The sequence below is a fragment of the Homo sapiens genome, chromosome 14, assembly GCF_000001405.40.
Source record: "Homo sapiens chromosome 14, GRCh38.p14 Primary Assembly".
In the NCBI taxonomy this organism is placed as follows: Eukaryota; Metazoa; Chordata; class Mammalia; order Primates; family Hominidae; genus Homo; species Homo sapiens.
In genome coordinates, this window is record NC_000014.9 from 30553373 (window position 1) to 30567810 (window position 14438).

Genomic DNA, 14438 nt, shown 5'->3' on the forward strand with positions numbered 1-14438 from the left:
ATTCTTGTTAGAGGTTAGTGAAGTAGAAGTTTGGGAATAGAGTCCTACAGTGGCCTGTATTCTGAGTAGCTGATTGTGACATATTTTATGTGAGCCACATAAAATGCAGGTGTGAGCCACTGCACCCGGCCTCAAAGTACACTTCTTATAGTATGACTCTATTAGGGCTCTGAGTCACAGAAAACTTAATTAAAAACTTTCATTCTAAGATCTCAGGGATGGTCTCTAATCAAGGCAACAGATAAGTGAGGGGTTATCAGATACCAGGCAGAATATTAATCGGTATTGCTGAGGAGACAGGCTAGAGAGAAAGCTAGAAATTTATCCTCAAGGTGGAAGATAAAAGAAAAGTGAACAGACATTCAGGGATGGATCTGCCTTAAGTATGAGTCAAGTATTTGCTTCAAATGTGGGTAGTGGCTGAGGGTAAAACAAAAATCTGATTCATCTGAAAGGCAGGAAGGGTTACCAGAAGTTCAATATGGCTAACACAGAGGAGGAATGAGTTCCTGTAAAGGACAATTTAGTCCAAAAGTGTATACTAATTCTAGTGGGCGCTAATTTAAGAATGAGTGCCAGGTTTATCAGCTTTACAGTATAAGATAGCATTGTTATTTCTCTAATTAAAGAATACCATACCTTCTTATTTGCATGTCTTTGGGGGTTCAATAGCCCTAACTCTGGAGGCAATGGTTTAGGGGGCAAAGCAACACAACTTTGGATGGCCTCCTAACAGGATGGATGTACCCTAACTCATTCAATTATCTTCCTCTTTATAGTTGTTTCCAGTTAGCAGCCACTGTAAGTAGTGCTTCAAAAAGCACTAGCATGCTTATTTCTATAGGAGAATCCCAAAGTTGAGAAAAGCCTGAGTTACTTTCCAAGAGCTGTAGCAATGTATGCTCCTGTGGATAAGAGTGTACATTTGGCCGGGCGCAGTGGCTCACGCCTGTAATCCTAGCACTTTGGGAGGCCGAGGCGGGCAGATTACGAGGTCAGGAGTTCAAGACCAGCCTGACCAACATGGGGAAACCTCCATCTCTACTAGAAAAATACAAAAATTAGCCTGGCATGGTGGCACATGCCTGTAATCCCAGCTACTCAGGAGGCTGAGGCAGGAGAATTGCTTAAATCTGGGAGGTGGAGGTTGCAGTGATACGCCACTGCACTCCAGCTATATGGAAGATATAAAGTTAGGCCTGTACCTTTTATCATATACCAAATGCAAGCTCCAAGATCGCGCCACTGCACTCCAGCCTGGGTGACAGAGCAAGACTCTGTCTCAAAAAAAAAAAAAAAAAAAGAGTGTACATTTTACCACCACACTCTCCCAGTGTGGGATATTGTGAATTGTTTTAATTTTTGCTAATCCAATAAACTTGGTATTTGGTTGGTTGATTTGTATTCCCAAAAGTGAGGTAGTACAGTTGAGTATTTTCTGTGTCTTGTCCTCTTTCATTTCCTTTTCAATGAATTACTTGTTCATTTCTTCTGCCCATTTTTATTGCTTTTTGAAAAAAATTATAAAAGTTTTTACATTAGAATTGTTAACCTAGTGTCCTATGTTTTATAAATATTTTATCATTGTCCCTCATTTATCTTTCAATGTGTCATGGTGACTTTTGCTGTTCAAATATTTTAAACTTTAACATAATGAAACATACTCATCTTTTATTTTATGGTTTCTAGGATTCCGGTCTTGCTCTGTCACCCAGGCTGGAGTGCAGTGGTGCAACAGCTCACTGCAACCTCCAACTCTTGGGCTCAAGGGATCCTCCCACCTCAGCCTCCTGAGTAGCTGGGACTACAGGTGCACACCACCACACCCAGCTAAATTTTTTAAAAAATTGTTTTTCGTAGAGCCAGCAGTCTCACTATGTTGCCCAGGCTGGTCTCAAACTCCTGGCTTGAAGTGCTCTTCCCGCCTTGGCTTTCTCAAAGTGCGAGGATTACAGGCAAGAGCTACTGCACCTGGCCCTGCCTTGTTTGAGAAGTCTCTTCTACCCTAAAGTCACAGTTACCGTTCTAAACTTCTCCCCAATATACTTTTGTTTTATTTTTTAAAATTTCAATCTTTAATGTTTCTAGAATTTATTTTGGTATATGATAAAAGGTACAGGCCTAACTTTATATCTTCCATATAGCTGGCCAGTTATTTCCAGTTCTTGTTAATTTATGAATGAACCCATCCTTTTCCTGAAAAGGAAATATCACCTTTATAATATATTAATATTCTCTATATAGTTTCATTTTTCTGGATTCTCTTTTTCTTTTTTGTGCTAATACTATATTTTTTGTCTGATTTTTTTTTTTGGCTACTCTTTGTAGCAGCTTTGTGGTAAGTTTTTACTCTCTAGTAAGACAAATTGTCTACTCCTGACCTCTGTTTTCTTTTTCTAATATGTCTTAACAATTCTTACATATTAATTTTCCTATATGAACATTGAAATCACTTATGTTCTCAAATTATATTTTAAAGTAGCAGGTTCTATATCTTTCTTTAAAGAAAATTTCTTTAAAACTGTATTTAAAATTTAAAAATTATTTTAAATTAAATTGAATTCTAATTTGATTTTGTGAATTTTCTTTAAAATTTATTTCTACGCATTTTATCATTTCTGTTACTCATGTTGGTTGTGGTAAAAACCTTTTAGAGTAGATTATAGGAATTCTTCTGCCAAAGCAGTTTATGTTGTTTCTTCCATGTAAAATTGATGACCCTTGGTCCCAGGAGTGTTTTTGTTTTGTTTTCTGCTGTATGTGGATTGAATAGGAAGAGGAAAGCAGGAAAGAGAGGTTACATTAGCTATGACTAAAATTTTCTAAGAATTCAGTTCTCAGCTAGTTCACATTACTGAGGGATTATCAGAGACTGAATAAAATTCTTAATTTTATTCTTCATTTTTTGCAGCATGTATTAAGTGGAATACTTATATCAATTTCACTCAATTTAAAATGTTTATAAGCTCTCAGAATGCCTGGTCTGATGGCCAGGTTTGTTAGATTTAAGTACGTCCTGCAATGAATATTTTCTTTCAAAAGTCCTTAAATTGTGGCCGGGCGCGGTGGCTCACGCCTGTAATCCCAGCACTTTGGGAGGCTGAGGCAGGAGAATGGCATAAACTCAGGAGGCGGAGCTTGCAGTGAGCAGAGATCACGCCACTGCATTCCAGCCTGGGCGACAGAGAGAGACTCCGTCTCAAAGAAGTCCTTAAGTTGTATGTACTCAGGCTCTTTGATTTAGTCAGTGGGTATTTATTGAAGATCTTTTTTGTTCACAAAATGCTGTAACATTACTTGAATATTGTTTGTATTCAAAATCACCTATACTCACTCTGGGTGAAAAAAAAAGAACAACATTTTAATTAGTACAGATAACCAGATAGTCCATTCAGTGAACACCAACCCTAGACAATTAATACAATTAAGCCTGGCTAATCTTATGGAAAAAAATGTGAATGACTTTACAGGGCTCTCCACCACTGATGAGAACTGAATCTCATTATTCCAAGTGATGGCCAGGCTGCGGGGTGATAATGACTTTGACAACATTTTAGCGGAAGAAATTGAAGAATTAATTAAGGGTTGTAGAGAAGAACTGACCAAGGAGAACTCAGGGGACAAACTGAAAAAAAAAAAAAAAAACACAAAACCTTGCTCATAGAGTTGTATAAAGAAAATCATATATATATATATAATCTTTTGGGTGGCTTTTCCAGGGCATTTTTAACTTTTGTATACAGGTCAACTTGAGAATTTAATTCCTGTGAAGGATAAGAATGGTGGGAAGGTGCCAAGAATTATGAAAGACATAGGAAAATATATAACATAGTTTCTGCCTTCAAGAAACTTCAAGGAGCAATATATTTAACGGGGTCATATTAGATATGTAAACATAAAATAATACACTATATCATGAATGACAAAATGTGTGGTCAAATCATTATATGTAATTGTAGAAAGAACTGTTGAATGAATGAATGGACATAGACTATCCAAACATTAGAAATTTATACGCTCATTAAACCTGATTTTGTATCTAGAATGTATTCAATTTCTAGCAATCTTCCTTAAAGAACAAAATTGCAAAATTAAAAAAAAAGTTTATTATCTTAAAAATTCAACTGGTGATAAAGTGAAAGGTAAAAGTTCTCCATCTCTTCCTACTCTTATTTACCAGCCCGCTCCCAGAGATGTTTACAGCTTAGGTATCCATCCCAAAACTTTGTATACCATATACACACACATACTTTCAAACAAGGATACTACAGTCCTTCTTAAACTTTTTCAGTATTTCATTTCAGTACCCGCTGATCTACTTCATTACTTTTAGTGCCCGCAGCGTCAGTATATCAGATGCTAAAGTATCATAACTTACATGTATTTAACCCCTTCCTTATTTGTAGACACAGATTATTTTCTATCTTCCACTGTTAAAAACAGTACATCAGTTAATAGCTTTACACACCCCCTGTGTCAGATTACCTGTAGCATAGGTTCTCAGAAATCTAGTAAACCTTTCAAACTGTATTTTTTTTTTTTTTTTTTTTTTTTTTTTGAGACAGAGCCTCGCTCTGTCGCCCAGGCTGGAGTGCAGTGGCGCAATTTCTGCTCACTGCAAGCTCCGTCTCCCGGGTTCACACCATTCTCCTGCCTCAGCCTCCCGAGTAGCTGGGACTACAGGCGCCTGCCATCACGCCCAGCTAATTTTTTGTACATTTAGTAGAGACGGGGTTTCACCATGTTAGCCAGGATGGTCTCGATCTCCTGACCTCGTGATCCACCCGCCTCGGCCTACCAAAGTGCTGGGATTACAGGCGTGAGCCACCGCGCCCGGCCCTCAAACTGTATTTTTGACAAAGGCTAAAGGTATGCTGTCATGGTTTGGTTTGTACTGATCCGTTTAGGTAATTCAATGTTATTAGATGTGAGGATGATCTGGTGGCAACATCAATCACAGCCATAAAGGTCAGAGTTATTTAGCGCCCCTCACCCCCTAGCATTTCCAGTCCTTCCTTTAGTTTCTGGAAGCTCCCAGATGTCTCTTCAGAAGCTTAAGACGTTTTGGATCAAAGACATACTGTGGTCCTCGATAAAGGAAAAGATACTGTTGTTTCAATAATCTCACGGGACAATACTTAATAATCTCGTAAAGTGAGCCCTTATCTGAGGGGGGAAATAAAATTTATTGCCTTCTAACACCATCAAATAGTTTATTTGAGACCAGGAATTGGTCCGACCACTTATTTTCAACTTTTGGCTGAATACGGGTGAACTTGGCTTTTTGTTTTCCCTAAACCCAGGACAGAAATAAATTAAAAGCCCTGACTGTGCCGGGATAGGACTGAGAGGCCCAGGAAAGGCTGCACTAAGTACTTGGAGGGTTTGTTTTTTTCCTTCTTGCTGCTGCTGCTGTTTCCTCGAGGATGAAGGGAAAGATAAAACCCTCCTGCCTCCGTTCGTGCTTTCATTCGCCCCATTCCTCGAAGGTGACGAAACTTCAGCACATCTCTGTCCATTTTGGAAAAAAGAGGATCCCCTCAAGAGCAAATAGGCGGAAACAATGACCCCGCGCCCGGAGTTTTTCTGAGCTCCTAAATAGGGAGAGAGACCCGACAAAACAAACAAGCGAAGGCGACACAGCCAGGTTAGCACCGAGCAGCAGCGCAGGAGCGCCAGAAGGGCGGGAGCACACGGGCCCTTCCCCACAGCCAGCGCCTCCGCGGGTCCCACCCCTCGAGGGCGGGGCCGACCGCTCTTTCCGGGTTTGCGAGCGGAAGTGGACGAATTTGAATCCTGTGGGCCGTTGAATGTGGCTGCTCGCGGTCGGCGTGCCCCGACGTACAGCGGGCCGGGAAAAGTGGCACTGAGGCTCTGGAACTTCTGCCCAGCTCTCCTTGGTGAGTAAATGGGGAACGGGAAGACGCAGAACGTTCCAGAGAGAGAAGCAGGACCGTGGGGTGGGAGAGGGTGTCAGGAGGCCGGACGTCGCAGCCGGGGCCTCGCAGTGCTTTTGGGGACGTCTGGTGCTGGGGCCCGGCCTGGAGACTAAGGGAATTCGGGGCACTGGGGGCGTTTGCTGGACCAGCGCTCTCGACGGTTGCGCACGCCAGCCAGCTCTCAGTGTTGAGGATTCGGAGGCCCTGCCGGTCCCCCGCGAGTAAACCTTGTTTATACGCATCCTCCGTGGCTTTTTTTAAACCCGTAGTTTATTATTTCCACCAATTCGGCTCGAATGCTGAAATTTTAACAGTAGTTAAATCTCACTGTGAAGGCGTTGCCACGTTTAAACAAATCTCTTTTAATGAAAGATGGAAGGTTGGGGCGGGTTTAGAATGAAAAGATGCTCTACGTGGCTCCGCGTTCCTCCTGAGAGAGATACCCGGGCAACCTTGATTAACTCTGGACTGCAGGGAAGTGACAGTCTTTGAAATGCCTGAGTGGGATTTAAACTGAAATTCGAGTGTCCTTTGTATTTAAAACCCGGATATTTTTCTTTCACGGTTGACATTTTTCATGTACCGCAAAAATCCGAGACTCCTATTTAAACCGGCTGTGGTAACAGCGGTGGTGATTAACTAGGGTCTTAGTTTGCAAACAATAGGGATAAGGTTTAGTTCCACCGCCCTGCCTTTTCGCCTCCCTCATTCATTGGCCAACTGGGTTATTATGGAGTCTTTTTGGAAGTAATCCACTAATGCTTTGAGCATCTGTTTCTTTGGGTTTTATTGTTTTGGGCTTTTTTTTTTTTAATTTTTAATGATGAACTATCTGAAATATGGAACTCTGTCTAACCCAGTAGTAAAGTCATGCCTTCTGGAATGGTTTAAAAGTGTGCCATAAATGTAAACTATAAATGGGAACTTTAAATGTGTACAAGTTTTACATCTTTATTAAAAATCGTCAGTTTTGTGTAGCTTAATACGAAAAGATATTTTAAGTTCCTTTTAAGGTTTTAACACCAGGATATTGTACCATTTAAATGTATAAATATATTTTTAAAAGTAGGACTTCATAATAATCAGAATAAAAACATTCCTTCATCCAGTGCTGGCTATTCCAGCACCCCCATTCTTCCTGCTATTGAACTTTTAAGTGTTAGCCAGGAAGAATAGACTTAAATACTCGGTGTTTAGGATAGTTAAAATATGAGCATTTTTCATATAGTGTCTTTGTAACAGAGACATTGGCTATACTTCTCTAAGCCTTTCTGCTCATTTCATATGTGCTGTCAACAAATGGTAATTTTTAAAAATTGATCGCTATATCCTAATCTCTTTATTTTTTTCTACCTGAATTATTTTCATTGGATTTTTGCTCTTTCTTAAATCAGTGAGTTTCAGAATTTATTGTGTATACACTACCTTGAAGGATTTGTTCAACAATGCTGATTCCTGCACTTCAGATCTCAGATTCTGAATCAGTAGGTCTGGAGGATGGCATTGAACAGTCTGCATATTTAACTGAAAGGTTAGAAAATACTGTGAGTTTTCAAAACACTGATTTGATCTTTCCTAGAAAGGCATTATAATGTGTTGATTAAAGACATGGAACTGGGGCCAGATTGCCTTGGTTTGAAGCCCATCTCCACCACTTGATAGCTAGGTGACCCTGGGCAAGCTGTTTAACCTCTCTGCTTCATTTCCCTCTACCGTATGATGAGGTTACCTACTTTGTAGGATTATTGTGAGGATTGAATGAGTTAATATATACAAAGACCTTAAAATAGTGTGTGCCACATAGCAAATGATACATAAGTCTCCAATTACATTGAGTTACTAAACTGTAAAAACCGCATCACATACATTCTCTCATTAATCTTTACAATATCGCTGAGGTAGTTACTATCTTCAAATAAGAAAACAGGCTAAGAGGGGCTCGGTAATTTGTTCTCACACAACTAGTAACACGTTGGAACTGAAGTCGGAAATTAGATTTAACTCAAAAGTTTATGCTTTTTTAAAAAAGTAATATTTCTTGCCTCTCTTCAGTCTCCCTCCAGATGTTGCTCCATAAGTATCTCTGATGGCTTCTCATTGTCTACCATATATAATTCAAATTTCTTAGCTTTGCTTTTTATTTACAGAGCCCTTCAGAGTCTGGTACCAACTTCTCTTCCCAAGGACCATCTTCATAATATTACACCAGTCTCTTCCAACCTGCTGATGTTCTATCAATACTACTAGAATTCTCCAAATCTATCTCTTATTACATTTTATGCATATTTAGCCATTGGCCTTTTTATTTCCCCTTAAGATTTTACTCAAATGGGTTTAAAGACTTCTCCAGGCTGTGCTTTTTGCTTATAAATATATAGTGCGAGACTGCCCTTGTCCTTTTAATTTTTATGTCTGCAGTGCACAGTGCAGAACAGTGAGTGTCATGATACTCTGAAACTGTGTATGTTCAGTGAGTACTTATTATTTTAACAATTTAACACATTTTGTCTTGGGTTAATGACTCAAAAAGTTGTTGCTTTTTTTTTTTTAAGGCTTGGCTTTTTTCTGAGATGATAGCATATAATTCTGTGTAGTTTAGTAGAGATTTTAGTGATAGCATATGGTTTATAAACTATGGAAAAATAAGTATTGAAATTATAGGCTCAGAGGACATTTCAAGTGGCAAAAAATCAGGAGCAATGTTTGTTAATATTCATGAATTTAAAATGCTTTATACATATTTTCTCACTTAATCCTCACAACCATTTTATTATCTCTATATTAAGATGAAGAAACTGAGGCACCAAAAGATTTAGTAGCTTTTAAAATGTATTTTTAAAATATTTAATTTCCTCTTGTGTGGGCGGCAAGCCACCCAGGTGCCGAGGCAAGAGACTGGGGGCACGAGCTGTTCCAGTATAATAAAATAATAAAATAAGAATAGTTATACTAGATATAGATCTTAGATATGATTATATATGAATATCATTAATCATTAGTTTGTAGCAATTACTCTTTATTCCAATATTATAATAATCCTCGCTCTACAATCATAACCTAGGAAAAACCAGGCCATACAGAGATAGGAGCTGAGGGGACATAGTGAGAAGTGACCAGAAGACAAGTGTGAGCCTTCTGTTATGCCCGGACAGGGCCACCAGAGGGCTCCTTGTTCTAGCGGTAACACCAGCGTCTGGGAAGACGCCCGTTGCCAAGAGGACCATGGTCTAGCGATAGCGTCAGTGTCAAGGAAAAACACCCGCTACTTAGCAGACCGGGAAAGGGAGTCTCCCTTTCCCCGGGGGAGTTTAGAGAAGACTCTACTCCTCCACCTCTTGTGGAGGGCCTGACACCAGTCAGGCCCACCCGCAGTTACCTGGAGGCCTAACCGTCTCCCTGTGGTGCTGTGCTTCAATGGTCACACTCCTCGTCTGCCTTCATGTTCCATCCTGTACACCTGGCTCTGCCTTTTAGATAGCGGTAGCAAATTAGGGAAAGTACTAAAAGTCTTTGATATGCAGAAATAATGGTGTAAGCTGTCTCTCTCTCTGCCTCGGCTGCCAGGCAGGGAAGGGCCCCCTGTCCAGTGGACACGTGACCCACGTGAACTTACCTATCATTGGAGATGGCTCACTGCCCCTTTGTCTTGTATCCAATAAATATCAGCACAGCCTGGCATTTGGGGCCACTACCAGTCTCCGTGTCTTGGTGATAGTGGTCCCCCGGGCCCAGCTGTCTTTTCTTTTATCTCTTTGTCTTGTGTCTTTATTTCTACAATCTCTCGTCTCCGCACACGGGGAGAAAAACCCACCGATCCTGTGGGGCTGGTCCCTACACTCTTGGTACAGTTTTTTTTTTTTTTAATTATGAGTGGTATGTTAGATGTAATAAAAAGTATCTTAATTCAAAATGTTAGGGAATTAAAAAACAAAACTTTTCTTTTTCCGTTTGATCACTTAAGACAGTTGCCTAATCTTGCCCACAGCTTTTCTTTAAAAACCTGCCCAACAATGTAGGGACATCATTCTCATGACCAGTAGGTAGGGTTGGTCTAAGGGACATAAAGCCCCATACCACTTAAAGTCCCATACCACTTCCCCAACAAAACTGGTACAGGTATTTATATCAGAGCTGCATATCTGATGCAGGCTAGACCATTCATGTGATTTCTTGATTTTGGAGTTGGGATATCACAAGACTATTGGAAGCCAAGCTGGAAAGGTCTTATGTGTTGCTATGACAGTGGAATCATGAAGAAACATGAAAATGGACATATGGAGCCAATGGGTGGTAGGGTGGGGTGGGGTAGGGGAGGATGACATCTGTTTCCTGGGGACTAGTTATATATTGATAACTTAATGTAAACTTGTAACTTTGTTACTTTTGTGTGTGTGTGTGTGTGTGTGTGTGTGTGTGTGTGTGTGTGTGATATAGAGTCTCACTCTGTTGCCCAGGCTGAATGCAATGGTGGGATCTTGACTCACTGCAACCTCCGCCTTCCCGGTTCCAGTGATTCTCCTGCCTCAACCTCCTGAGTAGCTGGATTACAGGCACCTGCCACCACGCCCGGCTAATTTTTGTGATTTTAGTAGAGACAGGGTTTCGCCATGTTGGTCAGGCTTGTCTCAAATTCCTGACCTCAAGGGATCTGCCCGCTTCAGCCTCCCAAAGTCCTGGGATTACAGGCGTGAGCCACCGCGCCCAGCCATTGCTTTTTATCTTAAACTTATCCTTTTGTTTTAAATAAAAATTGTTAACTTTTAAACAAGTATCTGGTATACAATTTGTATGCAATAAAAGTCACCCATTTTAGGGGTATAGTTCAATGAGTTTTAGTAAATGTATTCTCTTGTATGAATATACCACAGTTTGTTTTATCCATATACATTGTTACAGTTTTTAGTTATCACAAATAAAGTTTCTGTTGACCTTTGTGTACAATGGACATATGCCTTATTTCTCTTGGCTGCATCATATGATAGGTGTACATTTGACCTTTTTTTGAGGTAAAATTCCCATTTATAAAATTAGCCATTTTATTTGAGACAAGATCTCTGTCACCCAAAGCTGGAGCTCAGTGGCACAATCATAGTTCACTGCAGCCTCCAACTCTTGGACTCCAGCTGTCCTCCCACCTCAGCTTCCCAGGCAGCTAGGACTACAGGCATTTGCCACCAAGACTGGCTAATTAAAAATTTTTTTTATAGAGACAGGATATCACCATGTTGTCCAGGCTGGTTGCAAACACCTAGCCTCAAGCGATCCTTCCACCTCAGCCTCCCAAAGTGCTGGAATTACAGGTGTGAGCCACCATGCCCAGTCAAAAATTAGCCATTTTAAAGTAGACATTTCAGTGACAGTACATTCACGATGTTGTGCAACCATCACCTCTACCTAGTTCCAAAACATGTAACCTTTTATGTCTGACTTCCCTCATTTAATATAATGTTTTCAAGGTTATCTATGTTGTAGCATGTTTCAGTACTTTATTCCTTTTTATTGCCACATAATCATTCTATGGATATACCACATTTTGTATATCCATTCATCAATTGATGTATAATTAGGTTGTTTCTTTGTAATGTATTGATTTAGTGATCTCTTTTGTGAATAGTGCTGCTGTGAACATATGTATGCAAGTTTTTGTTTGAACTGAAATATTTCAATTGTTTTGGTTACATAGCTAGTGGAATTGCTGGGTGATATGGTAGTCTTGTTTAATGTGTTGTGGAATTGCCAAACTGTTTTCCACCCTTGCATCATTTTACTTTCCCACTAGCAATATGTAAGGGTTCTAATTTCTCCATATCATCATTAACACTTACTATTTTAGTTTGTAAAAATTATTATTATAGCTATTATAGTGGACATGAAGTGGTGTCTCATTGTGGCTTTGATTTACTTATCACTAATATAATGAGCATTTTTTCATGTGCTGTTGGCCATTTGAATATTTTCTTTGGAGAAATGTCTTCAGATATTTTGTTCATTTTTAAGTTGGATTACTTGTCTTTTTGTTGTTGCATTGTAAGAGTTTCTAATGTATTCTAGATACTAGACCCTTTTCAGGTTATATGATTTCTGAATATTTTTTCCCATTCTGTAGATTGTCATTAGATGCACAAGTTTTATACTTTGGTAAAGTTCAATTTATTTTTTTCTTGTTGCTTGTGCTTTTGGTGTCATATCTCAGAAACCATTGCCAAATACAAGGTCATGAAAATTTACCCCTAGATTTTCATTTAAGAGATTTATAGTTCTGTCTTTTACATTTAGGTCTTGATCCATTTCGAGTTGATTTTTTTTAATGCGTGTGAGGTAGGGGTTCAACTTCATTCCTTTTTTTTTTTTTTTTTTTTTTTTTTTTTGAGATGGAGTCTCGCTTTGTTGCCCAGGCTGGAGTGCAGTGGCACAATCTCGGCTCACTGCAAGCTCCACTTCCTGGGTTCATGCCATTCTCCTGCCTCAGCCTCCCAAGTAGCTGGGACTATAGGCACCCACCACCACACCCGGCTAATTTTTTTGTATTTTTAGTAGAGACTGGGTTTCACCATGTTATCCAGGATGGTCTTGATCTCCTGACCTCATGATCTGTCGCCTCGGCCTCCCAAAGTGCTGGATTACAGACGTGAGCCACCACACCTGGCCAACTTCATTCTTATTTACATGGCTGTCTGGTCGTCCCAGGACCATTTGTCGAAGAGACTGTTTTCTTCCCATTTAATGGTCTTGGCACCCTTATTGAAAATTAGTTTACTATAAAACGTGAGTTTATTTATTGACTCTTTCTTCTTTTCTATTGATGTGTATGTCTGTCCTTGTGCCAGTACCACATTGTCTTGATTACAGTGGATTTGTAGTAAGTTTGGAATTGGAAAATTTGAATCCTCCAACTTTTTCTTTTTGGGGATCCTTTTGACTATTCAGGATCCCTTGCAGTTTAGGCTTAGCTTTTCCATTCCTGCAAAAAAAGGCCATCGGGATTTTGACAGGAATTGTATCAAATCCATAAATTGCTTTGGGGAGTATAACCATCTTAATGAAATAGTTTTTCAACCTATGGATGCAAAATGTCTTTTCATTTATTTACAGTTCTTTAATTTCTTTCAGCACTGTTTTGTAGTTTTCAGTGCAAAAATCTTGCACCACCATGGTTAAATTTATTACTAAGTAATTTTTATGCTATTGTAAATGGAATTGTTTACTTAATTTCCTTTTTGGATTGTTCATTGTTATATAGAAATACAACTGATATTTGTGTGTTGATCTTGCATCCTGTAACTTAGCTGAATTCGTTTAGTAGCTCTAACAGTTTTTTGTGAATTCTGTAGGAAATTCTACATATAAGATCATGCCTTCTTTGAATAGAGTTACTTCTTGCTTTCTTGCTTTATTATTCTGAATAGACCTTCTGGTTCAGTGTTGACTACAAGTGGTGGAAGTGTGTATCTTTGTTTTGTTCCAGATCTTAGGTGGAAAGTGTGCAGTCTTTCACTGATAATTATGTTAATTACAGGTTTTTCCATAGATGCTGAGGAAGTTCCCTTATATTCCTAAATGTTTGAGTGTTTTTATCATCAATGAGTTGTATTTTGTCAAATGCTTTTTCTGCATCTATTGAGATGAGCATGTGACCTTTTCCTTTTTCTCTATTAGTATGGTATATTATATTGGTTGATTTCCATATGCTGAACCACCTTTGCATTTCTGGGATAAATCCCACTTGGTTATGGTACAAAATTTTCTTTATCAGAATCAGTTTGCTGGTAGTTTGTTAAGGATATTTGCATCTATGTTCATAAGAGATAATTGGCTTGTAGTTTTATTTTCTGTGATGTCTTTTTCTGGCTTTGGTATCGGGGTATTGGTGGCTTCATAAAATGAGTTAGGAAGTGTCATAATATCTTTTGGAGGGGTTTGAGAAAGATTGGTGCCAATTTTTCTTCAAAGGTTTAATAGGGTTCACCAGTGAACCCATCTGGGCTAGGACTTTATTCGTTGGGAGGTTCTTCATTAGTGATTCAATCTCTTGTTTGTAGATTTGTTGAAATTTTCTATTTCTTCTTGTCACTTTTGTTATTTGTTTAACCTATTGTTTAATTTGTTAACTTTTAACTTCTTAGAGTACAATTGTTCATAATAGTCTCATTTAATTCTTTTTATTTGTATTAGGTCTGTAGCAGTGTCCCACTTTCATTTCTTCTGATTTAGTAATTTGAGTCTTCTCTTTTTTTTCTCTGGGTCATCTAACTAAACGTTTTCAATTTTGTCGATCTTCTCAAGCAATTTTTATTTTATTGATTCTCAATTTAAAAATTTTTTTATTACATTATCTGGACTCTAAATTATTTCCTTCCTTCTGCTAGCTTTGGGTTTAGTTTGGTCTTTTTCTAGTTTCTTTGGGCATATAGTTGGGTCATTGTTTTGGGGGCTTGATTTTATTTGTCTCTAAGTATTTTCTAATTTCCCTTGTGATTTCTTTTTTGACTTTTTGTCTAT

General features: G+C 38.9%; 1 protein-coding gene and 1 long non-coding RNA gene across 8 annotated transcripts in view, besides 1 other annotated feature; one reads left to right on the forward strand and one right to left on the reverse strand.

Moving 5' to 3' along the window:
* The window catches only part of G2E3-AS1 (G2E3 antisense RNA 1), a 139366-nt gene that overhangs the window by 115381 nt on the left and 9547 nt on the right, over positions 1-14438 (reverse strand). The window contains exon 3 of the long non-coding RNA NR_151720.1: positions 7365-7463. This is a non-coding gene — a long non-coding RNA (G2E3 antisense RNA 1). The remainder of the gene's footprint in view (positions 1-7364; positions 7464-14438) is intronic.
* Positions 5452-5641: an enhancer, noted in NCBI's record as "active region_8224". NCBI's record gives its function as "activates an Ori minimal core promoter by ATAC-STARR-seq in GM12878 lymphoblastoid cells {active_cell/tissue: GM12878}" and the evidence as "EXISTENCE:reporter gene assay evidence [ECO:0000049][PMID:35858748]".
* Positions 5786-14438, forward strand: part of G2E3 (G2/M-phase specific E3 ubiquitin protein ligase) — a 60907-nt gene continuing 52254 nt past the window's right edge. For all 7 annotated transcript variants that reach the window (NM_017769.5, XM_011536926.3, NM_001308097.2 and 4 more), the window contains exon 1: positions 5786-5900. The gene's annotated coding sequence lies outside the window, so the exon portion shown is untranslated. The remainder of the gene's footprint in view (positions 5901-14438) is intronic.